The sequence below is a fragment of the Homo sapiens genome, chromosome 4 (genome assembly GCF_000001405.40).
Source record: "Homo sapiens chromosome 4, GRCh38.p14 Primary Assembly".
Lineage (NCBI taxonomy): Eukaryota > Metazoa > Chordata > Mammalia > Primates > Hominidae > Homo > Homo sapiens.
The window spans coordinates 20,509,960-20,534,597 of record NC_000004.12 but is presented as its reverse complement, the minus strand read 5'-3'; the positions used below and the strand labels follow the sequence as shown (position 1 = coordinate 20,534,597).

General features: G+C 35.9%; 1 protein-coding gene and 1 non-coding gene across 9 annotated transcripts in view, besides 1 other annotated feature; both read right to left on the bottom strand.

Moving 5' to 3' along the window:
* Positions 1 to 24,638, bottom strand: part of SLIT2 (slit guidance ligand 2) — a 368,657-nt gene that overhangs the window by 85,964 nt on the left and 258,055 nt on the right. For 5 of the 8 annotated variants that reach the window (XM_005248211.3, XM_006713986.3, NM_004787.4 and 2 more), the window contains 9 exons: positions 24,032 to 24,103; positions 23,461 to 23,532; positions 15,145 to 15,216; positions 10,695 to 10,838; positions 10,421 to 10,584; positions 9,426 to 9,449; positions 5,499 to 5,649; positions 2,540 to 2,614; positions 883 to 1,026 (listed from right to left, as the gene is read on the bottom strand). In XM_005248211.3, coding sequence (XP_005248268.1) covers positions 883 to 1,026; positions 2,540 to 2,614; positions 5,499 to 5,649; positions 9,426 to 9,449; positions 10,421 to 10,584; positions 10,695 to 10,838; positions 15,145 to 15,216; positions 23,461 to 23,532; positions 24,032 to 24,103 — 918 coding nt within the window. Of the gene's footprint in view, positions 1 to 882; positions 1,027 to 2,539; positions 2,615 to 5,498; positions 5,650 to 9,425; positions 9,450 to 10,420; positions 10,585 to 10,694; positions 10,839 to 12,433; positions 14,511 to 15,144; positions 15,217 to 23,460; positions 23,533 to 24,031; positions 24,104 to 24,638 lie in introns of those variants that run through there. The other 3 variants (NM_001289135.3, NM_001289136.3, XM_011513910.2) reach the window with 2 other exon arrangements.
* On the bottom strand, positions 6,214 to 6,323 carry MIR218-1 (microRNA 218-1). The gene has a single exon (NR_029631.1). It is a non-coding gene; the product is annotated as a microRNA 218-1 (primary transcript).
* Positions 10,421 to 10,608: a silencer, noted in NCBI's record as "fragment chr4:20525613-20525800 (GRCh37/hg19 assembly coordinates)". NCBI's record gives its function as "represses an EF-1alpha promoter that drives an FKBP-Casp9 reporter gene in an ReSE screen in phorbol 12-myristate 13-acetate-treated (for megakaryocytic differentiation) K562 erythroleukemia cells {active_cell/tissue: K562(+PMA)}" and the evidence as "EXISTENCE:reporter gene assay evidence [ECO:0000049][PMID:32094911]".

The following is a 24,638-nucleotide window of genomic DNA, read 5'->3' as shown; positions in this document are numbered from 1 at the left end:
TTCAGAGTTTGGTTTGTCTTTCTTCCAATTTTTAGGCTACCACTTTTGTCAAACATAATTATATACTTTTTAGATACAATGTATATGTGTGTATATGCGTGTTTGTATGCCACATGAAAAATTCAAGTAATACAAAAGTGTTGTAAGTATGTTTGATTGAAATACCTCAATCTAATCCCCATATTTCTTGGACAACAACTCTTTGGAAACATATATAATTTTTTCCCCCAAACACCCTACCCCTGAGCAAGTAGACATAACTCTTAGCATGTTTTCTTTGAAAAAACAGTGGAAGATGTATCACCAGCCTGTCTTTCTTTTACACTGAGACCTTGCAGGGGCAAAAAACAGTAGTCTCCAGATAAGCTGTTAGAATTATTCTACTGCAGAGATTCAAGGGGATTCTAAAGCTTACAGTCATTGGGCCAAGAAGAAGTATAGTATAGAGAGGTGTTTGAAGACAAAGAAATAAAATGACCATTTTGAGGCAGGACAGGGTAGTCAGATCCATATAAGCACTGGAACAAGGATGATCTATTTTGTAGAAGAGACAGAAGCCATGGGGGACGCTCCTGATCATCTGCTATGAACACATCGAAGGCAGGAATATTGGGGTAAAGGACCATTTGCATTCACAATACGTGTGTGTGTGTGTGTGTGTGTAACACACATCGAAGGCAGGAATATTGGGGTAAGGGACCATCTGAATTCACAATACATGTGTGTGTGTGTAGCGGTGTGTATGTGTGTGTAACAGAGAATGTGAAAGAGATAGAGGGAGTGGGGTGGGTAAAAGTAGGTGTTTCTCTCTCCCAGGATTATAATGAACAATGAGCTGCAATCCTTTGGTAGAAGAACTGCAATGCAAGTACAAATACTTACAAAGTTTTGAGGCTTTCCAATCCCTTGAACATCTTATGCTGCACATTTTCCAAACGATTACTCGTAAGAAGTATTTCATTTACACCAGATGCTCCTTCAAATGCTCCCTCCTCAATATCTGTGATCTTATTGTTGCTAAAGTTTCTAAATAAAAATTGTTGGAACAAAGGTTTTAAATAATTTCTAACAAGGTGGGAATTGAAACATAGTTGATAATTTTCTTCTAATGATCCAAGTTTTCCAACTTTTCACTGCCCAGCACTGCCAGGGCTCTGAAAAGATTCCACTTCCTTACACCATCAAGACAAAGGGACAATAATACTAACAGGGAATGTCTGTGGTAAAAAATGCCAGCGTGACTCATGTCATACTCTCCAAGGGTCTCCAGGAGTATAAAATTCTTGAGGTCAGGTATTGGGTTACACAAACCTTTATGCCATCTATAAAACCTAACAAGAAACTTTTCAAAAAAAGTCCCTGATTAAAATTGTCAAATGTTAATGACTAAAAGAAGGCAACTAGGTGGAGATAGATGGGCTAAAATGTGTTAGTGTTTTATATATAGCATCAGGAATGTATTTGAATATGGGTTTATTCCCAGAAGAATGTCTCATGTAATAATGTGTTGAAACAACCAAATTAACTGTCAGTACTACGTATGATACCAACTACTACAATGCTTGCCAGAAGGCAAGAGTATCTAGTTGAGGTCAACTGTTTATAGGCTTTTTCTTTCTCTTTCTCACTGATCACTCCAAGACCAGGAGTGTCTCCCAAACAAGGATCATTTTTATGCATATTTTAATTTCTCTGAGAGAATTGCACACAGTAGCTTCTTAATAAATATTTGTTGCATGGGAAATCATCTTATGGCTAAAAAGAAAGTACATTTCATAACAGTGAAAAAGGAGGGCAATTAAGATATCAGAAACCATTTGGGAGGTAGGCTAATATGGATGCCATCTGTACAAGTAGTCTGTTCGGTAACTTACAGTCTATGTGACTATGGGCCAGTTACATATATGGACACACAGCTAAAGTGAGCTGATGCTGATGTTTCTGCATGTGTGAGGGCGCTCCATTGGTCCCATGCTATTGACCTATGTCCTGTCTCCCCGTCACACCTCCCCAGGGGCATGGAGTAACCCACTGAGTGTTGCTGAAACTGCTGAGCTTATGAACTTATTTTAAAATATGAGTTGTGGACATGTAGTAACACAGATGAGCTATCAAGCCAGTTTACCAATCATTAATTTTGACTATCTTCTAATGAAAGTTTAATGAAGCAAAAAAGTCCAATAGTTGACATGAAAAAAAAAATAACAGCATGGTTTGGGGAATAGTAAAGGAAGTTACAAAACATTACTGAACCCATTTTAATGTGCTTAGATTGCTGGATTCCTGCTGTGGCCACATAACAGACCAGCTGTCTGAGTTAAAGTAAGATGCTTAGGCTCTGCTACAGAAAATGTGATTGACACTGCTGAACACACAGAAAAGTCCCTTGCAGAGATTACCCTAAATTCATGTTACAGGTCATCATCATAGGGAAATTTCCCAGGATTTTTAGTATTTTCTAATTTTCTAAGAAACTTAACTGAAATGAACACCCAAAAAATGCTACAGAAATAAAAAAAATAGCTAACAAGTGACTTACATTTTACGTAATTGAGGAAGTTTCTTAAAGATTCCTGTGGCTTCCAACACGGTAAATTCATTATTATTGAGACGCCTGAAGAAAAAAGAAGGAATAGAGAAGTTTTATTACCAATAGTTAGGAAAGGATTAAATTTGATTTCTCAAAATGAATTCTAACATTATTTAATGATACCAGGAAAATAAAAGGAAATACATAAATCACAGAAGATTTGTGGAACATACTGATATTTTTTCTCATTTTATTCAAATTTTAATCATCAAAATAAAATGTTAGGAAGCACACAGTAAAAAAAAAAAAACACAAAGATCAAAACCAGCTCTCAGTAATCTCTAGAACAAATTTTCTCTAATTTTTTCCACTATCGTCCCCACTAAAAAGGATTTCTAGACTGTTTTTTCCCTAATCGTTTGCTTCACAATTGGAACAAAAATTACAGCTTTATTAGAATGCAAACCACATGCCAGAACATTTACCCTTTAAAAGTCATACAATTCAGTTGTGGAACCATCTTTGCTATCTAATTCCAGAACATTTTCATTACCCCCAAAAGAAACCCCATACTTACTACCAGTCACTCCTGGTGGCTGTTCCCCCACAGTCCTTGGCAACCACTAGGTTACTTTTTGCTTTTACTAATTTTCCTAGTCTGGGCATTTTGCATAAACGGAATCATGTAAGATGTAGCCTTTTCTGTCTGGCTTCTTTTGCTTTGTGTAATGTCTTATTCCTGTTGTAGCATATGGCAGTGCTTCATTATTTTTTAAGACTGAATGATATTTCATTACACAGGCATGACACATTTGTTTATCCATTTATCAGTTAGGAGGCATTTGTGTTGCTTCCATTCTTTGATGGCTATAAATAATGCTGCTATGAACATGGTGTGCACGTTTCTGCCTGGATATATGTTGTCGTTTTTTGGACATATACATAGGAGGGGCATTGCTGGATCACATGGTAAATCGTGATTAACTCTTTGAGAAATAGCAAAAAAGATTTCCATAGAAGCTTTACATTCAGACCAGCAATGTATGAGGGTTTCAATTTCTTCCACTATGTTACTCTCCCTTTTTGTTTTTGTTTTTTTTTTTTAGCCATTCCAGTGGGTCTAAAATGGTATCTCATTGTGGTTTTGATTGGAATGTCCCTAATAACTAATGATATTGAGCAGTTTTTCATGTGTTTATTGGACATTTGTATATGTTCTTTGGAGAAAGGTCAATATGAATAATTTAACCATTCATTAGCTGAGTAAAATACCTTTTAATCTAAATTATAAGAGTTCTGTATATATTCTGAATTATGTGCCTTATTAGATACATGACTTGCAAATATTTTATTCTCAGTACTGATTTTATTATATAATTAAAAAAATTATAAATCTCTTACATTACACACATTTGCTGAAGTCTAAATTGGAGGCTAGTTTCCACTATAATTCCTCCATGACAAACAAACTTATTTAAAGTGCTAGGCCAGGGGCAGTGTCTCATGCCTGTAACCCTGGCACTTTGAGAGGCAGAGGCAGGAGGATTGCTTGAGCTCAGGAGTTCAAGACCAGCCTGGACAACAGGGCAAAATCCCATCTCTACAAAAAGTACAAAATTAGCTGGGTGTGGTGGTGCATGCCTGAGGTCCCAGCTTCTTGGGGAGATGGGGGTGGGGGACTGAGGTGGGAGGATCCCTTGCGCCCAGGAGGCCAAGGCTACAGGGAGCTGTGATTGTGCCACTGCACTCCTGCCTGGGTGAGATAGTGAGACTCTGTCTCAAAAAAAAAAAAAGTACTATTGTGCTGGAAGGTATCACTTGTTTGTAGTATTATAGGTAATAAGCATAAATCCCTATATGTCTATAAAAAATAAAGTTCAGGGCCTTGGTTGCATGGACTCCATGCATTTCTAAAATTCCTGGAGCTGTGAAATAGCTTCATCAACTAATAGGAGTAAAAAAAAAAAAATCACTATAACTACAAGATAGTGGGTTTCTGTCAACTCTTTGAAAGGCATTACTTTATTTTTAGTTATTCAAATTGCTAAAAATTAATTAAGTACAGGCATGAGTATAGGCACAGTGAGAGATAAACAATAACACACAATCCCTGTCATCAAGGAGCTATAATCTAGTTAAAGATGGAAGGATTATATACAAACAAACAGACAACGAACTTTGCAAAGCAGTAAATGACAAATACCAGATGGTGCTATATATAAACATGGCTAAGATGTTTAGAGAATGATGAGGTTTTGCTAGTTTTTTCCCTGAATTGTTAGAACACTAACATTAAAGGTCCTCTTCTTATAAATAAAGTCAGTAAAGGCAAACCATGCATGGGCATAGAATCTGTAAGTGCTCCAACAAACACCTTAGCACTTAGTATGTGCAAGGTCCTATGTTAAGGCTGTTAAGTGTAAATACCATCATATTCTGCCTTTTCAGCTTTTCTTGCATTGTTCAGAAAAAGCTATCCTTTCTACTTTAATACTTGATAACCACTGAATCCTTCTGCCCGTAAGTCAATGAAGTAGTAAATTAGGTAAGACAGACTCCTTGAATCTATTGATAGTTTACAGAGATTGAAAATGGAGGCTCTCAAACTACTTTATTTAGTTGCTATAAGAATTAAATACGTTAAAAACTAAGTACTTAGAAAACAAATTGGGAATAAATAATACCCAATAAATAAGCATCAAATAAATACCATTGTTATTAGTATGAAGTGCTTACTGAATTTTGAGAGATAAATTAGTTTCTGTACTTAATCGTATGGTTGGCTAGAAAGATGAATGAAGGTAGCCTCTAATATATTCTTGTACAAAATAGAGTTATGCCAATGTAATGCATATTAATTAAAATTAATGCAATTATTAATAATAAAAATGGCAAGACAAACATTCTTATGCTTTAATGCTTTCATTCCCTCCATCCCAACCAGAATTTTGTTGGGGGATGAACTTACAACTCTGCAGTGTACTGGGGAATGTGCTCCGGGATTTTGTTGAGCTTTTGATTAGAGCAATCTACTGTGGTTCCTTCACAGCGACACTTTTCAGGGCAAGCCAGATCCGCAAAGCAGTCTCCACTTAATTTTGATCGATAATCTTCTGTACCTATTGAGAATTCAAACCAAAAAAAAGATACTGAGTCTAAAGGTTAGAAAATTTATTAGTTTGTAGGAAGAAAAAAGTAAGATAACTATAGATTATGTAGCAGGGAGACAACTTGGGGTATTTTGGTCAATGGATGTCAGGAGAAAGGTTAAAAGAAAGGCTTGGAATTTTCTGGAAAAAAGAGTGACCAGATTCACATGACAGGAAAACATTAATAAAGTTGAGCTTTTCACAGCTGTACTTTCTGCTGATCCAATTCTGAGTCATTCTAGCCTACTTCACAGCTAGTCACACAATGGATATTAATTATTAAAAAGTTTATTTTTTTTCTCGGAGTCAAGAATTGAAAATATATCCAGTAATAAACATGATCCTATATCTCATTGTAAATTAGGGCTTTCAAGGCAAATAGATATACTCAGGCTTTTAAATTTTCTATGGACTTTTTACTATTCTCTCCCTCTCACATAATCTCGGAGATGCCTAAAAAGCCCTCTTTTTTCATTTTGATTTTGTAGAAAGAGACAGGAAAATCCTGATTTAAGCCTCAGCAGCTTGTCATGCTGTAGAAAGCTGCGTGACGTTCCATGGTGCTTGACGGAACCATGTTTTACTCATACCTCGCAACCACATGGTTAGATCAAGCACAACAGAAAATCTCGCTACATTATCACTACACCAACCACTAGGCCAAAGGTAAGACCAAGAGGAAAATGGAGGGAAGGAGGAGAAAAGCTACAGACGTTCTGGAAACGTAATACTGTTTACATGACATGCATTCTTCCCGCAGAATGTTTATGACCACAGTAAGAGTATTACTACCGATGATTTCCTGGAAACACAAAGAAGGGGCTATATGGAAAAGGTGCCTCCACCATTCCTCAGAACTGCAGAATGGAAACAACAGCTTTCGGGAACAACATCCAGGAAGAAGTTGAAGGTGAGCTACAAGGACAACAGAGAAGCTCAAAAGATCTGTGGTTTCTTCTTGAAAAAAAGGTGCCAAAGACCAAGACTAGAAGAAGGTACATCAGGATTGAAAAGGGAGGGTATTATGTTTCAGATCAGACACTTTTACTTACAGCCAAAATGGTGAATTCCTGCAAAAGTAAAGATCACCAAGAAGGAAAGAAAGAGTAATCCCAATTAAGATTAATATACATATTTATAAAACTAAGCTCTCTTCCTTCTTTCTTTATTATGGGAATTATTGAAAAAATAGCATGATGTGATGGGAATTGTCATGCTTTGTAAAATTTTATAAATAATATTTTGAAGCACGGTGGTCTCACAAGAAAACCAATGTAATAAAAGATGCATAGTGCAAATTAAGTTCTTGATTCCTTTAAAAGATGAACTCTCAAGGCCGGGTGTGGTGGCTCACGCCTGTAATACTAGCACTTCGGGAGGCCAAGGCGGGCGGATCACAAGGTCAGGAAGTCAAGACCATTTCACCTGACGGGTGAAAACCCATCTCCAGTAAAAATACAAAAAATTAGCTGGGCATGGTTGCGGGCGCCTGTAGTCCCAGCTACTCGGTGAGGCTGAGGCAGGAGAATGGCATGAACTCGGGAGGCGGAACTTGCAGTGAGCCGAGATCATGCCACTGCACTCCAGCCTGGGAGACAGCGAGACTCCATCTCCAAAAAAAAAAAGATGAACTCTCTGCAAGACAGATTTTCTTTTATCACTGTAATATGTAGAGTGCCATATAAAATGGTAGTAGCGAGGTACACACGTAAAAGTGAATGAAAAACTAATCATGGAGATCCTCAAGGACAATCATTACAACATTTGGATTAATCCTTATGTTGTGATGTACACTTTTTAATGAACTTTTCAACTTATAAATAATGTGTCTTAGTGGAAATGGAATCAGAATCTCATAAGAAGTTTGCGATGGTAAATATAATCGTTTCATTACATTTGGCAGTTAATGCCATGATATTTACTGAGGATCTGGTGTCTTATGATTTATGCTTCACTCCAAAATGAAATAAGAGTGCACAAAGTCTAAGTGACAGGTACACTGGATATCTTGCAATTCAAATAATCTGCATTCAACGGAACAGTAATAATGCTTATTTTATGGTGGCTTGTTAGGTGGACTCAAATTTTAATTAAAATTTTTGGAAAAAAGGGGAGGAAGCCCAAATGATCCTTTTGAGTCCTGGCTTCTACAATTATCATGTTTAAAGAATGTAAATTAAATTATCATAAATTGAAACTTAAGACATGATATTTGATATAAAAGATAATTTCCAAATCCTATTTTGGCTGCTGTCAGTAACAGGGAAAAACTATATCAGAATATATGAAAACAACCTGACTTTTGTTCTTTATTTAGTGAATTGGAAATATTAAACTTACCAATTATTAATTAAGTATATTTAAATGAAATAGTTTGAATAATTTGATACCAATTACATTACTGCCATAATTTTAGGATTTAAATCATATTAATGTTTTATTCTATAGGTAGTCTGGTGTTTAGAATATGGCTTTTTCTGGTTAAATAATAGCTATCAGATTACTTTCCACTTAATTGGGTAAAGTAATTAATATTAAACATTGTCAATGAAGGCCAATCAACTGTTCTTTTCAACATGTTACTTGTTATGCAGCCAGTATAATAATATACAATGCTATTGATCATTCAAGCTCAAAATAAGTCATATCACCAAATCTACTAAATCCATAAAATTATACAAATTGTAATTCAATAATGGCAAGCTAACAAATATCTCCTTAAAATAGAGACTAAACCCAGAGTTCTTCTTAAGAAAATATGGAAAGTTAGACTAACTCTGTACACTAACGCTGTAGAAATATCTTTTAATCTATAGCTCTTAAAATTTTTTATAGTCTAGAATATACCCAAGAGACGGTGAATGTGGCCAATCGATACTTAACATAATGGTTTAAAACAAACAAGTCAAGAGGCATTTTACACAATTGGCAGGCAAGGAAAAATAAGTAAAGAAACGTATTTTAAAGAGCTAGTTCTAGAATCATCAGTCTTGATAGTGTTACGATTGAAGTGGTAAAACATTGCGATTACTTTTCTTAGAAACATTTTATCCATCTGCCTAAATTATTCAAGGCATTTTGTGCCCATGAACTTCTGATGCTTTCACATCACACATAAATATTCTTTTTTATGGAGTTATATTGTAATTCTGGATATAGAAGAATGTAAAGTCATAAACAAATAAGAAACAACTGCATATAATTCAGCAGGGAGTTGCTGTTTTTCTATAAACAGTGAAGCAAAAGTAAAGCAATAAGTACAGTTTTTAAATATAAGAATCTATAAAAAAGTAATTTTCATGATTGAAAATGAAATTCTGTGTGTAACTGATTTCATGTAGAACTAGCTCTTTGACATCAGAAAGATCTCTGTCTTTAAAACCAGCTCAATTAGCTATATTTTAAAAACAGGTTGGAAGATCAGATATACAATGTAAGGAGAGAAAATGATTTAAGTAGAAAGCCATAGCTTCAAACATTTTAGCTACTGTGAGAAATTTTAGATAATGCGCCAAAGTAAAAGAAAGAGAAGAAAAGGTGGAGTTTAATAATATATGTTTAACATCAGAAGCTGCATGCAAAGGTCAGGATTTCAGGAAACAGCTACAAGTGATATATGCATAAGTCAATCTATCTATAGAGTATCCACTGTACTTTCAGAAGCATGCATATCAGTTTTAGAAGCTATATTTTATAAGGTGAGGAAAGGGTGTCTGTAGTTAGTCCTACTACCGAGCAAAACCTACCTGGAATGAAATACTGTTCTTTAGCTAAATAAAAAAAGAGACAAAAAATAGAAGATGCACCTGAATGTCAGCAAGCAGAGATATGAGTTATATTAGATTAAGAATGGACTAAAGTTACTGCAATTAAGTGAAAAATGTATATTCACAGCTGTGACTGAAGTACAATAATGTACAGTGAGTAGTAAATGCATCTATAATTATGGACAATAACCAGCTTGGTTCTTATATTAGCTTTTTAGTATGAAATTAACTGCCGAATGTGAAATACGCCTGGAATAGTTAGGTAGCATAGTACCAAAAAGACATAAAATATTCTATCATAAAAAAGGAAAATATTAGATCAAAGCAAACAGTAAATTTGAATGATGGCAGCCTTTCATTTAATATCAATACAATGCATTCATATTTAGCTTTTTACAAATAAATGCAATATTCCCACAATATTTTTAAAAATAGCTTTTGGAAAAAACGCATCCTCACGGTTGTATGCAAAATAAGAGAATGCAAACTGAGAAAGTGCATTCAGAGTAAGAAGCAAGGGATCTGGAGTCCCTCCTGGCGCCCCTGTACTTCTGAGCCCAAACAAATCATGTAACCAAGTCTCAATTCACTTTCTGAAGAAATGAAAACACAGTTAATTACTTGAGGCTGGTCAATTCAACAAACATGAGACTTAACATACTTTAAAGGTATTCTGAGTTAGCTATAAGGCTCTGGTTAAGTTTGAATTTTGGAAAGGTACTATGAAGTATCTAGGCATCTTTTTAACTTGGTCAATTGCCTATTTCTTCTGCTGTATATGGTGTTAAAATGTTACATATAGAAGTATTATTTGAATTGGGTCTACAGTCCTCTTTATTTTATTATTCATGGGCAGAAGAAAAAGAAATATGATTCTACAGTGTTCACTAATCAGCCGAAGGCCAGCTGCTTTTGTTAGGTCTCATGTAACCATTGTTGTTGGTCACAGGGGAAATAACACGTGAAGAAATTACCTGAACAACGGAATTTCTTGCTTTTGATCTGTCCAATTCTTTTGTTTGCCAGGCGGCGGGGGCTGGTGCAACGGGCACCACTGGTCTCAATCGGGTTGGTATGGAGATAATCCGCTAGCCACTTGAGATGGCAGTCACAAATAAAGGGGTTCTGGGCCAAATGCCTTTGGAAACACATACAGAACAGTTTTATAGATGACTTGCAATGGACTCAGCTCTTACATTCAGAGAGGAAACAATGTCATCAAAAGTGATCCAAATCACTTATACATACATAGTTTGAATGGCCCGAAGAGGTGAAAAGGTCCCCTTGGCGATGGTCTGAAGCTTGTTGTCATATAGGGAGAGAAGGTTCAAGTTGTGGAGATCCTGAAAAGCATCTACCCGAAGGCAGTTTATCTTGTTGGCATTCAATAATCTGTTTGATTAAATAGTTGTAGAATTAAAGTGTAGCATCTTATTAACTCACCTGCAAGATTTTGTGCTTTTTAAGGAAACCCAGTCAAGAAATATATTTCTTTTCACCTCAACACTAACATTTTAACTTTAATAATTTAGGAATTAGAGGCTAGAGATGTGGGGTTTTACCACATAACAAAAGTCATGTGATCAAATGAACCTAAATCTAGTGGTATTTATACATGTATTCAATACACATTATTAACCATTTCCTCTGGAAGATACAAAGGTGGGATAGTACACAAAGGTGGGTGAGACCCAGCCTCCACTGGCAAGGACACCATAAAAATGCTCTAAGACATCATTAATCCCTCAGGACACTCTGTGCAAAAGTAGTTCAGGCTATTCTCAAAACAGTAGCTAGTGTGATCCTTCTAAACATGGAATAGATCATGTCACCCCTTTCTCAGAACCATGCGACAGCTCCCAATTGGCTCTGAGCAGAAACCTAAGTCGTCACAACAGCCTGACCTGTAGCCCACTCTTCAGAACTCTGCAATCTTCCCAGTTCTCTCCTCCTGGCTGTTTGAGCTCCAATCACTGATCTCCTTGCCTTTCTTAAACACACCAGGCTCTCCTATTCTTTGTCTGAAATGTTCATCTCCCAGATGTCAAGCCTGCTCTAATACTGCCTTCTCAATCCAGCCTCCCGCACCCCTCTCCTTAATACATGCAGGCTGTCTTTGACCCCTTCCCAACCCCTAGCACTCTCAATTCCTTTTACTTTGATCTATTTCTATTTTCTAAAATATATACATTTTTTTTCTGCTACACAACTTACTATGTTACTGCTGACTGTCATCTATATGCCTGCCTCCCTACCCCCACAGTAAATCATCCATATGTCTATTTCATTTCCCTTCCTTTCCCAGACTGCCCAGCACATACTGGGAGCTCAATAAATATCAGTTGTTGAATGAATACTTTACAACCCTCTTGGAGAGTCACATGGTACATTAGTATAGGCTGTAGTCTTATATTATAAATACCTGTTTAACTTTTTAACATAATTCCCCACAAACTCCTTTTTCCCCTATGTATTATATCAATATTCTGTGGAACTGTAGTTTATGGATTATACTTTGGCAAACATCATTCTCGGTGATGTGACTGTGTGTGAGCTTAGGTTTATTCTTCAGCATGTACTCTGCTCTCTACTTTCCTCAACCATCTTCTGAACTCAACTTTCACCCAACAGAGTACTCCTCCCTCTGGGTTCCTCAAAATGTCATTCCATGCTATGCAGTCTTGTCAACTGTTTTATGCAGACCTGCTTATTTGTCCAATGACAGTTTCTCCCTCTTCAGGAAGGACAATTTTTTTAAATAATATTCTTTTTCTCCATCCCTAACAGGCACCACTGGTCTCAATAGGGTTGGTATGGAGATAATCCACTGGCCACTTGAGATGGCAGTCACAAATAAAGGGGTGCTGGGCCTAATGCCTTTGGAAACACATACAGGACAGTTTTATAGATGAGTTGCAATGGACTCAACTCTTACATTCAGAGTGGAAACAATGTCATCAACTGTGATCCAAATCACTTATACATACATAGTTTGAATGGCCCGAAGAGGTGAAAAGGTCCCTTTGGTGATGGTCTGAAGCGTGTTATTATATAAGGAGAGAAAGAATATTTTTCTCCATAGGAATGGAGAAATTTTTTTAAATTCCCGCCTTAAGAGGGAGAAACTGTAGGCAATACTTGGATACAGCATCAAGCTATATCTAGCTATATTTAGTTCAGTGCTTTGATACTTAGAACTTTTAACAAATTTGTAACAGCTCAAAAAATATGTGTAATGTGGTTTGGGTATGCCTCATTATCTAACATACTAAAAAATATTTTCTCCTTTGACAATAAAACAATCTCTATGTTAACATGGGTTATTTCCATTTTACTTGATTTTTTTTTAAAGGTGCTACATCAGCAACATGCAAAGTGATGACTTTCTCACGGTGACTCAATTGGCTGTGCTCTTTGATTCCCCATCAGGAGCTGAAGCTTCATCTTCCCTCCGGTATATGTAATACCTTCTTAAAAGCCTTCAAGAAATGGTGGGTGACAGGGGCTGATTAACCCCACACCTCTCCTCCCTGGGCCACAACTCAAGTAATGCTGACCTGTTCTTTACTTAATAATCTAATTGAGTGAAGCAGTTAGAGAGCAAACAAGGACAATGAAATTGTGTGGAGCCTGAGGAAACTGAAAGATGTTGTTTTGCATCATCTTGCATCTATGCAGTTTGTACTCACTTTAACTCAGTGTGGCCCAAGGAACAGTAAATAAATATTAAACAACAATCTGTTTTGTTTCTTTTATTTCCCTGCCTCTTCTCTCTAATCTCTGACCAACCAAAACTAAGACACTTAATTTTACCAAGTTCTCAGCTAGCTGTAAAGAGATAATCATGCCGTTCTTTCCCTCTGGCAGGCTTAAGAATGAGCCTTAGTGTAGAAATGAAACTTTATAAAGATGGCTTTAGAAGTAAGGTTTATCTATATAGATCTCCATATTTTATTAGCATGTGTGTTACATCAACTACCAATAAGTGTGGATGGAAAGAAAAAGAAGGTGACACTTCACGTATTTGTAGTAGATAGGGCAGTGATAGAGTGATTGTGAATAACTGGCATGGAGAGTAAGTCTAGGGGAATGTGGAAGAATGGCAGAGAGGTGAGTCACAAGTAGGCAATACTTGGTTACAGCATCAAGCTATATCTACAATGGGTACAGACATCTAGGCTGTGAATAGCATAATTTTATCAAATTAGTAGCAATATTTAATAACAGAAATGGAAAGCTTAGAAAAATCTGAAACCCAAATAAAGTCATTAAGTTACAAAATCAGTATTTCTCATGACTCATTGGTCTATTGTAAAATAAATTTACTGGGTTATGTAGCACTGAGAAAATAAAGAGAGAATTGGGGTGGGGATGAACAGAAAAGAGAGCACTACATATAATAAGGTTCATTATTGTTTCATTAACATTTTGTTTCATTTGTTTGGGTGTGTGTGTGCTAAGGTGTAATGTAAAATACATTTCTGCATAATGGTGAAAAAGTTTAAGACATGGATAATAGGATGTACTTAAGAACGTAAGTTTATAAATTCAGGAATATATTTATATATATACATGAAGATTGTGGGATTAGGAATAAATCGTTACCAAATAAATGCCAAGAAATAAATACACTCCAGAGGGAAAATAACATTGTATGCGTAAGGATTTTAAGGGAGATTTACTAAGAAAAAAATTACAACACAATTATCTTTGTATCTAAAGCATATAGGCCAGTGTGTGCCCCAAATGAGGTCCTCTGATGATATGAATAGAATTTGATGATTAACCACCAAGTTTTAATATTTGCATTTTTTTCCAACTTTACTTTTCATATGGGCATGCATTAAAACACATGGTGTTAAATCTCCTTTTTGCAAATATGTATGGTAAATACTTCTTTTGAGACAAATGAGTAGTATCTATTGTCTAATCAGAGTGGTCTTTGATTTACAGGTAATTATCTCTCTAAAGGTTTAGTCTGAGGACTATTGTGTGTTACAGCTCACCGCACACCATCCGTTTGAGGAAATTATTGCAGCACTGTCGCTCCTGCAGATTCTCTGGACAAAAGTTGCTGAGTATATCACCATATCTTTTTTTTTTTTTTTTTTTTTTTTTGAGACGGAGTCTCACTCTGTCGCCCGGGCTGGAGTGCAGTGGCGCGATCTCTGCTCATTGCAAGCTCCACCTCCCTGGTTCACGCCATTCTCCTGCCTCAGCCTCCTGAGTAGCTGGGACTACAGGGGCCCACCACCACCACGCCCGGCTAATTTTTTGTTTGTTAGTAGAGATGGGGTTTCACCGTGTTAGCCAGGATGGTCTGGATCTCCTGACCTCGTGATCCACCTGCCTCGGCCTCCCAAAGTGATCACCATATTTTTCTCGGTTCCAACTACTGGTTACATTAAAACAGAGATGTTTTACAAAGACAGGGATTGTAGAAGCTTTAAATGATAGAGAAGCCAGAATGCATACATTCATGATAGTGTAGATAAAATTGGTTTGGGGACTATTCCAAAAAGTTGTGTCTTCAAGTAAATAATCACGAATACTAGCTTGACTGGACTACTCTTTTCTATTTTGTTAAACTGTATCATTTTGAGTCAAATTTTTCCAAGGCCTCCATAAAAATATGAGACAACAAAATGGCTAATATATATTATTAGGCTCGAGAGATCCAAAACAATCAAATACTTACAGGAGCTGTAAGGAAAACAGTCCTTCAAATAAACTTTTGGGGAGTTCTGTGATTTTATTTCCATAGAGGACACTGAAAAAAATATTTTAAATGAAAAAAATTAGACACCAAACCTGCATAACAAATTCATCTAATACATATTTACTCAGGCATACAGGAAGCTAGTAGGCAATCAATACATCATAAAAGTTATAGCTGAGTAAACAAACTCCATTTGCAAATGTCTTTTGCCTGATTACAGATCAGATATATGCTTACTGTAGAACATTTGGAAAACAGAAAAATAAAGAACATTTTATATATGTATATATCATTTCCACTTGCATTGCCGTTTCATAGAAATGTTTCCTTTTAAGTTGTTTTTCTACTCACACGCATACACAGTTCATATGTAATGAGAGCACACTATATATGACAAAGAAGAATGCTAAGTGTAGAATCAAGTATAGAAGAGTATACAGTGACATAAAAGTCCTCAAGATACAACATTAAGTAAAAAAGAAGCATGTTAAAGTATTATGTTAGTTTTGTTTTAAAAATATATACATGGCCGGGCGCGGTGGCTCACGCCTGTAATCCCAGCACTTTGGGAGGCCGAGGCGGGCGGATCACGAGGTCAGGAGATCGAGACCATCCTGGCTAACACAGTGAAACCCCGTCTCTACTAAAAAACACAAAAAAATTAGCCGGGCGTGGTGGCGGGCGCCTGTAGTCCCAGCTGCGCGGGAGGCTGAGGCAGGAGAATGGCGTGAACCCGGGAGGCGGAGCTTGCAGTGAGCCGAGATCGCGCCACTGCACTCCAGCCTGGGCGACAGAGCGAGACTCCGTCTCAAAAAAAAAAAAAAAAAAAAAAAAAAAAAAAAAAATATATATATATATATATATATATATATATACATATAGGCTGGGCACAGTGGCTCATGCCTGTAATCCCAGCACTTTGGGAGGCCGAGGCCGGCGGATCACGAGGTCAGGAGATCGAGATCATCCTGGCTAACACAGTGAAACCCCATCTCTACTAAAAATACAAAAAATTAGCCAGGCATGGTGGTGGGCACCTGTAGTCCCAGCTACTTGGGAGGCTGAGGCAGGAGAATGGCATGAACCAGGGAGGCGGAGCTTGCAATGAGCCGAGATCGCGCCACTGCACTCCAGCTTGGGCGACAGAGCGAGACTCTGTCTCAAAAAAAAAAAAAAATATATATATATATATACACACACACATATATATGTATATATATATAAATATATGTATATGTATGTATATGTATATATATAAATATATGTATATGTATGTATATGTATATATATAAATATATGTATATGTATATATATGTATATGTATATATATGTGTGTGTATATATATATACACACACATATATGCACAAAATAAAAGGGAAACATATTTAGATGGCAGATGATTTGCCATCCAGAGGTGATTTGAACTTACATCTACATATTTTTGTGTATTTTAATATATCTCTAAAATAAGCATATATCATTTTCAAAGATCAGAGATATATTCTTTTGGGAAATAAACAAATGGCTGCCATAACATATAAAGAAAAAGCTGAAATGTGAATCTAAATAATTGATACGTTTGGCAGCAGTATATAATCTCTTTTTGAAAAGGAAGAAAATAACTATACAAGAGAGATGAATACGTGAGAGAAAAGCTGTTCCTCTTTCAAGATGTCAGAGAGAGGTAAGGTATATTATAAAATGTGAAGAAAATCCTCAAAGGAATAAATAAAGCCGGGTGCTATTATAGTGTAAAGAGATATTCCATTTGTCTCTTTAGATTCCATGATATAACTATAAAATAGAACATGAAATTTTGTTTGTAGAAAACATAGATTTCTTTAGAAAAGTACATCAATTAGAGAAGAAACCATTTTAAAAATCAAAGAACAAAAGAGAGGATTCTATATTGTCCAGAACAAGGTAGAAAGGGAATTAGAAAAGATAAGGCATGAATAAATATATATTTTGAGGTCAAGATTAAGAGAAGAGAGGGCATTAGGAAACACAAATGAGTAGATTAAGATGGCACCAGTCTGGGATATTCAATTCAATATCTTTCAATTCATTCATTCAACAATAGAGATTGTGCACTTACTATGTGCCTGTAACTTTGCCAGATTCTAAGGTTGGTGCTCAATTCAATTGAGTCTGTCATTTTTGAATGCCCATCATCTGCCCATGTCTCAGGCACTGATATGACTGAGATAAAGAAGGTATGGCTTCAAAGGGCAATCCAAAAGAGTAATTTTGAATAGTCAAAGAGTCTGATATTGTGAATCCACTGCAATTTAGAAAGGAACAAAGATGTATATAAATTGTGGAGGACCTGCATGAGTATCAAGGGGTGGACAATTTAGTAGGTTGTTCACTTGAGACTTCTGCTTTGAAGGTTGGCCCAAATAGCATGAAAGGAGAACAAGCTAGGAGATGCATCGTATTTATATTGTGTAATTATTTTTTTCAATAAATCACTGCTTTCTTTAAGACCATGTTAAAAAGTAACAGATGCTATTGTTAATGAGACAAAGTGGGTAAACGGCAAAAAAGGAGGAAATTACACTAGGATACAGGAAATCTATGTGTATAGGAATTATTGCTATATGGAGTATCAACCATAAAAATAATAAAGAAATACTCAATGTAATGGGAATGACATTTCTCCAGAAAGGTTTAGCAGGACTAGGGCTGGGTACAGTATTTTACATAGCAATGAGATCAAAATGACAGCAAGGAAAATTAGTTAAAATATACCAAAATCCAAAGACCAGGATAGAGAAGTTGGATGACAGCCCAGGAAATAGGGCCAAAATCTATAAAAATGAGGGAAAGAAATATCATCACATAAAGATATAAACTAAGAGAAGGCCAGTGAGAATTTGTCCTACACTGTTGGAGGAAAAGAAATTTTTAAAAGAAACTGAAAGAAAAAAGTGGTATCAGCTGAAAAGAAAATCAATACATGAGGGATGTGGATAATATCATCCAAATACCAAGAATGACTAATTGAGTATCTTTTCTACAGTTTCTTATACATGACTTATGTTCAGCATACCACATAGATAGTATATACATACGTACTATTATATGTGTACAATATACATATACTCTGATAGAGATTTTTTTGTTGTTGTTGTTGCTAGTCTTTTTGAACAATAGGGAAATTTTAAGGTAGCTCTTGTACCTGCTGCTATAAGGAAGGCCAAGAACGTTAAACACAATTTAGCCCTTGTGAGTTTCAGCATTAGGACAGTAAGAGGCAGCAATAGCTGGTGACCAGTGTTTGAGCTCTTGTGCTCTTATTGAAAGTTGGCAGAGGCCAGGCGCAGTGGCTCACGCCTGTAGTCCCAGCACTTTGGGAGGCCCAGGCGGCCGGATCACCAGGTCAGGAGTTCAAGACCAGCCTGGCCAACGCAGTGAAACCCTGTCTCTACTAAAAATACAAAAAATTAGCCGAGTGTGGTAGCAGGCGCCTGTAATCCCAGCTACATGAGAGGCTGAGGCAGGAGAATCAGTTGCATCTGGGAGGCGGAGGTTGCAGTGAGCCGAGATTGCGCCATTGTACTCCAGCCTCGGTGACAGTGCGAGACTCCGTCTCAAAAAAGAAAGCTGGCAGAAGACAACTCCTACTGAAGAGAAAAAAAATGTCCAAAACAGCAACCTATAAGATGACTATCATGAAAAAGGTGTTATGGGCAGATACTTTATTATTCAAAAAAATGTCAAGGAAATTATACTTATAAATTTTTTTAAATGTATACATTTGAAAATTATAACTCTTCAGTGATTTTTAGAAGAGTACAGTAAAGATAAAGCAGAGGACAAAACAGAGGTGCTACCTTTTAATTTTCATTGAAAACCTATAGTAAAATGCAAGATACTGGGCAGGAGAGTTAACAGCAGTTTAGGAAAAGGTTGCCAGAAATTTAAGTACAGTGTTAAAGTCTTCCACTGTAGACCCCTGTGGAATTTGGGAGCTAGTTAAGGAAATAAGGAAATTAGAGTAAGTGAATTAAAATAGTTTACAAAGGGCTAATGAAAAGAATGGGAAAAGAGAAAAATCATATATTGAGGACCTTTGGCATAAAGAAAGATTCTCTGGGATAATTGAGATCCAGAAACATACAAATTGCTTTCTATCAAGAGATGAATTTGCCATGGCCATACATATTATTTCTTGATGTTTACTCCGTAACAAAGCCAGCAGGGAAGTAACTTTATCCTCATTTTAGAGATGGAAGAACTAATACCCAGGGAATTTAGTAACTAGCTCAGCCTCTAACTAGTAAGTACTAGAGCCAGGATTTGAACACAGCCACCTAGTGTCCTAAAGGTCATATGCTTAGCAGTATGCTACAATGATACTACACTTAAAACGTTTTGTTACTATAGAAGGAAGTTTCCAAGTAATAAGCAGAAAACAATAAAAACTGTTTACAGACAATGCTAAAAATACTAGTATGCTGAATTCTTAAGAAATTGTTACTAAATATTATAGAAATCTTGTTGATGTCACATTGAAAGAAATTTTAAAATCCCTGAAAACGACATGAATGTTTTTTGTTTTGTTAATATATTGCATATTATACTATGTAACAATATATTAGTATAACATTATAATTTTATATAATACGTAATAAAAATAAATGATAATGTTAATAAAAAAAAGTATAGGATTTCTTAGTAGGAGAGGCCTTAAAAAACATTAGGTAAATCAAGTCCACTTATCTCTAAGAGATGAAATTTGGTGATCTAATAACTTGAAATTTTTATTTATTTATTTTTTTGAGACAGAGACTCACTTGGTTGCCCAGGCTGGAGTGCAGTGGTGCAATCTTGGCTCACTACAACATTCGTCTCCCGGGTTCAAGAGATTCTCGTGCCTCAACTCTCCGAGTAGCTGGGATTACAGGCATGCACCACCATGTCTGACTGACTAATTTTTGTATTTTCAGTAGAGACGGGGTTTCACCATGTTGGCCAGGCCAGTCTTGAACTCCTGACTTCAAGTGATCCGCCTGCCTAGGCCTCCCAAAGTGCTGGAATTACAGGCATGAGCCACCACGCCTGGCTGAAATTTTTATTTTTTAAGTAGAATGCAGTAGAGGTGCTTGGCATCATATCACCTTTAAATAGTTTTATTTATTTAGCAATTGTAGTGATTATATTAATCTGGCTATATTCTTGAGTACAGTTCTAGAAAGACATGGTATTAAAATATCAGGTGTAAGCAAAACTTGTAAGCAAAATTTTTATTTAAATAAAAAGAGGTGTTGCCTTGTACTTGCATGGTTTTTGTAGTAAACTACATACTCCCAAGTACTCTGCTCCCTTCTGGAAGATTTTAACTCCTGGTCACTATCATGATCTCCAGCACAATTCTTCTCTGCAAATCTAGCTTTCACTGGCTTTCCTCTCCCACCCTAATTATAGTGTCTCAGACCTGTAGTTACAATTGCATTCTCTTCATCATTTCAGTTTCAAGCACCCACTACTCTCCAGTAGCAGTGATATTTTTTGCTAATTCTTGAAACATCTAGCATACTCCTGCTAAACGTCCTTAGTACTTAACCGTTCCCTCTGTCTTGAATGCCTTTCCTCTATATATCTGCATTATCTACACAGTTCACTCCCATAGCTCAAATCTTCAGGTCTTTGTTGATCATCTTATTTAAGGTTTTAGCTTCCCCCCGCCAACCACAGCTATCCTTATCCCTTGTTCTGTAATTTTTATTCATAGCATTTTCATCTACAGATAGATGTAATACTATAAATATAGGTAAATTTTATGTATACTATACATTTGCCAGTTTATCACTGGTCTCCTCCATGAGGCAGGGATTTTTGTGTTCTGGTCACTCTGCATCTCTAGACCCTCTACTAGGGCCTAGTACATAATCGGGCCCAATACATTTCTTTTGAACATATTAACTGTGGTTCAATGAAGAAAAGAGCTATTGCAAATGTGTGTAGTTATATATTTTATGGAGGGGAAAATAACTTAATCTTTGGAAAGTGAACTCAAACTGTGAACGTGACCAGGAAAATGATACGTGTTATAACACGTGGGCTTTCTCTAAAATAACTCAGTTATTTGATTCTTTTCCAGTTTATCTGTTTTACAGTATTATGCAGGTATTCCACTTTTGGCAAACAGTTTGTGATCTTCCACACGTTGCTACATTTTGAACTGGAAAAACCCCAGTGACTTAACTCCCTGACTTAACTGCAGTTTACTTTATCTGCAAGTAAAGATAAAGCTTTTCTACGGCCTTCTAAAACAACTGTGTGCGTGAGTGCTCTCATCATGAGGCCTTAGATTTCAATGTAGCAAGCATGTTATTTTACATGTGTTAGCAAATAGCAAAAGGAGTGACAACACACTATTTTATTGTTTATTAGATTACATAATTTATAATCATTAATTACAGGAACCCTGTTTATCAACAAACATAATGTAATTTATTGAAAGAAGTAACAAATTATAATAAACTGTTCTATTTATAATTTACTTGTAAATATCTTTATATATTTTCTTTTAATTCTCACAACCACAGAAGTGTCAATTAACATTATTAAGGGAAGAGCTTAATATCAAACTCTGCAAGCAAGCCGATATAAATAAGAATTTCCCACTGATTTCTCTTCTTCTTGACATTTAATGGTTATCTTTGAGGACCAAAATTGTGGAGAATCAGGAACTGACATGCTGATTTGCCTTTTGTCCTTCTGTATGACAGGGAGTTTGTCAATGTTTACTCTGGATAGTATTACTGTTCAGAATGGTGCTAACAGTACTTTATGGACAATCTGACTGGGTGATCTGAGTTTTACACTGAACCTAGTTACTTTAGAACCTGACAGTACAGCCTGAGAGCAATACATGACTACACGCTATATTTTCTGCCAACAATTGTTCCTTTAATCTCGTGCTTCTTCTAGTCAAAACCCTCCAAGTCAAAAAGAAGCAAAAGTGAACCCAAGCAGATACTGCCATTTAAGTAACAGTTTTCCATTTTCCTTTTTAAAGAAAACTGTAGTGTTTTTTGTTTTTGTTTTTGTTTTTAAACAGACTAACATAGCAACTGGAACACTCATGTGCCCAGATGAGCACTCCGATCTAGTTCTCCCCTTGGAAAGAGTGCCAGCAAGTTGTTCCACAAACTCCAGGGGTTTATCTGGGTCTCGCACATGTGTATCTTGGCATTCTCATTGGCTACCCCTGACCTCTGATATCTGAAATATTTTGGCAGGAATTGACATCAATAAGAACCCTTCTCTGAGTTTCGGCTCTTAAAAAATAAAAATGTGCCGACTTCCACTTTCGAATATTTAAATCTGATCTAAAGGTTACTTGGTGGACTTCTGAAGATTTTTTTACAAGTGTGAAGTAATATTAATAACAGCTGCTATACATTTATTTTTAAACTTCTTTAATTTACATAGCTATCTTTCGAAGGTTCTCTTGACATTAAAAAGCTGTCATATTTTAAAATCTTTGTTCTTTGAGAGATTAAAAGCTTATTCTTTTAGGAAAGTATTAAGGTGATGAAAAAGAGTGGAGGTTTCCTCTCAGTGGTCATCTTCAAGTGTTCTCAGCAAGATTTTGCCTAGCATTTCAAAGGAGACTGATATTGTCTCCAGATACTAGCTACATGCTTTCCAAAATAAATATTTTCTTTTTCTTTTAGAAATAAAAAAATGGGCCGGGCACGGTGGCTCATGCCTGTAATCCCAGCACTTTGGGAGGCCGAGACGGGCGGATCACGAGGTCAGGAGATCCAGACCATCCTGGCTAACATTGTGAAATTCCATCTCTACCAAAAATAAAAAAAAAAAAAAAATTAGCTGGATGTGGTGGCAGGCGCCTGTAGTCCCAGCTACCGGGAGGCTGAGGCAGGAGAATGGCATGAACCCAGGAGGTGAAGCTTGCAGTGAGCCGAGATGGCGCCACTGCACTCCAGTCTGGGCGACAGAGCAAGACTCCGTCTCAAAAAAAAAAAAAAAAAAAGAAATAAAAAAATGGTCAAAAAGGGGATCTAACTCTTGCTCTCCTAACAGCAAAATGATCAAACTATAAAATATACACCCCTAAAAATTGGCTAATTTTAGTGATGGGTAGCAGTCCTCCATAAAAATAATGGGACCCAGAAGTGGTTAATAATAATTAACATTATTAATAATTCATTATTCATAATAAAAACCTGAGAGCATTTTTTAAACCCCAATTTAAAAAAGGTAGCCACTCTTTGTTGTGGCTTCTCTTTTCCTTCAGTGACACAGTGAATACTTACAGTGAATTCAGAGAGCGTAGTCCTTGGAAAGCATCTGGTGCAAGTTCAGAGATCTGATTATTGCTCAGGTCACTAAGATTAGAAATAGGGTTAGGTTACATTCAATCAAATGTCAGTGAGATTTACTGCGGAAAAAGCTATGTATGGCTTTTAAATGTTGGTTTTGTACTTATCAAGACATGTCCAAAACGTGCAACATTGAACATCTGAAGGATCAGAAATTTAAAAAAGAAATCATACTTTTTAAAATAACCATTGTCTACTTTCCCATATAAGATGCTATGTCTTATTTTTGACAATAGAACACCTGAACATATGTTCATATGCAAAATATATTGACCATAAACATTCACATTTGTATGAATCAATATGCTAAATTACAGACCTTTAAAAATTACATAGTTTAGATATTAAGATTAAAATATTATTACAGAGCTAGTAATCAGACAGTCACATCACTTAATATTTAAGCTGTCAAACACTTATATACTCATACTTAAGTTTCTTTGCATGGTCTCATGACCTCTATAATTTTTAAAATTACATATATTGTAGAATATTGTTCACTCACATTCGTCTAAGCTTTTTATATGGTGAGAAAGCTCCAGGAGGGATGACTTTGATTGTGTTCTGTTCCAAACGTCTGCAATGAAAAAAAATTCAACTTTTAAATGGAAATGTGAACCTTCGGACATGTTTAATTCAAGCTCAGGATTCATGTCAAGAAGTAAAGTTGATGTTCTTCATGAGTGATATATTTTTTTCCTGAAAAATAAGTACTAAATTTAATTTTTCTGTCCCTAAATGTGAAGCAAATTGGGATTAAAAACTAAGCAATTATAAACATAATTAAAATATTCAGATTTTTAAGTACTACATATCCATCAATATTTAAGTCTGGACTTTGTACAAAAGAAATAATACCTTTAAGAAACTAACTTAGGAGTACATTTTAATTAACTTAATATAAGTTAGAGAAATAGGTAGAAATACTGAATAGATCTATTACATATTTTAGATACAATCATAACTCTTCCACAAAGAAGATTACTGTTGAATATTAAATTTTATAAGCCTTTTATTTCCTCTATGGAAAGCATATGATCGGTTAAAAAATAATTTTATACTCACAAAATTAATTTTGAAGCTTCTTATGAGGCAAAATGTTAAATTATAAA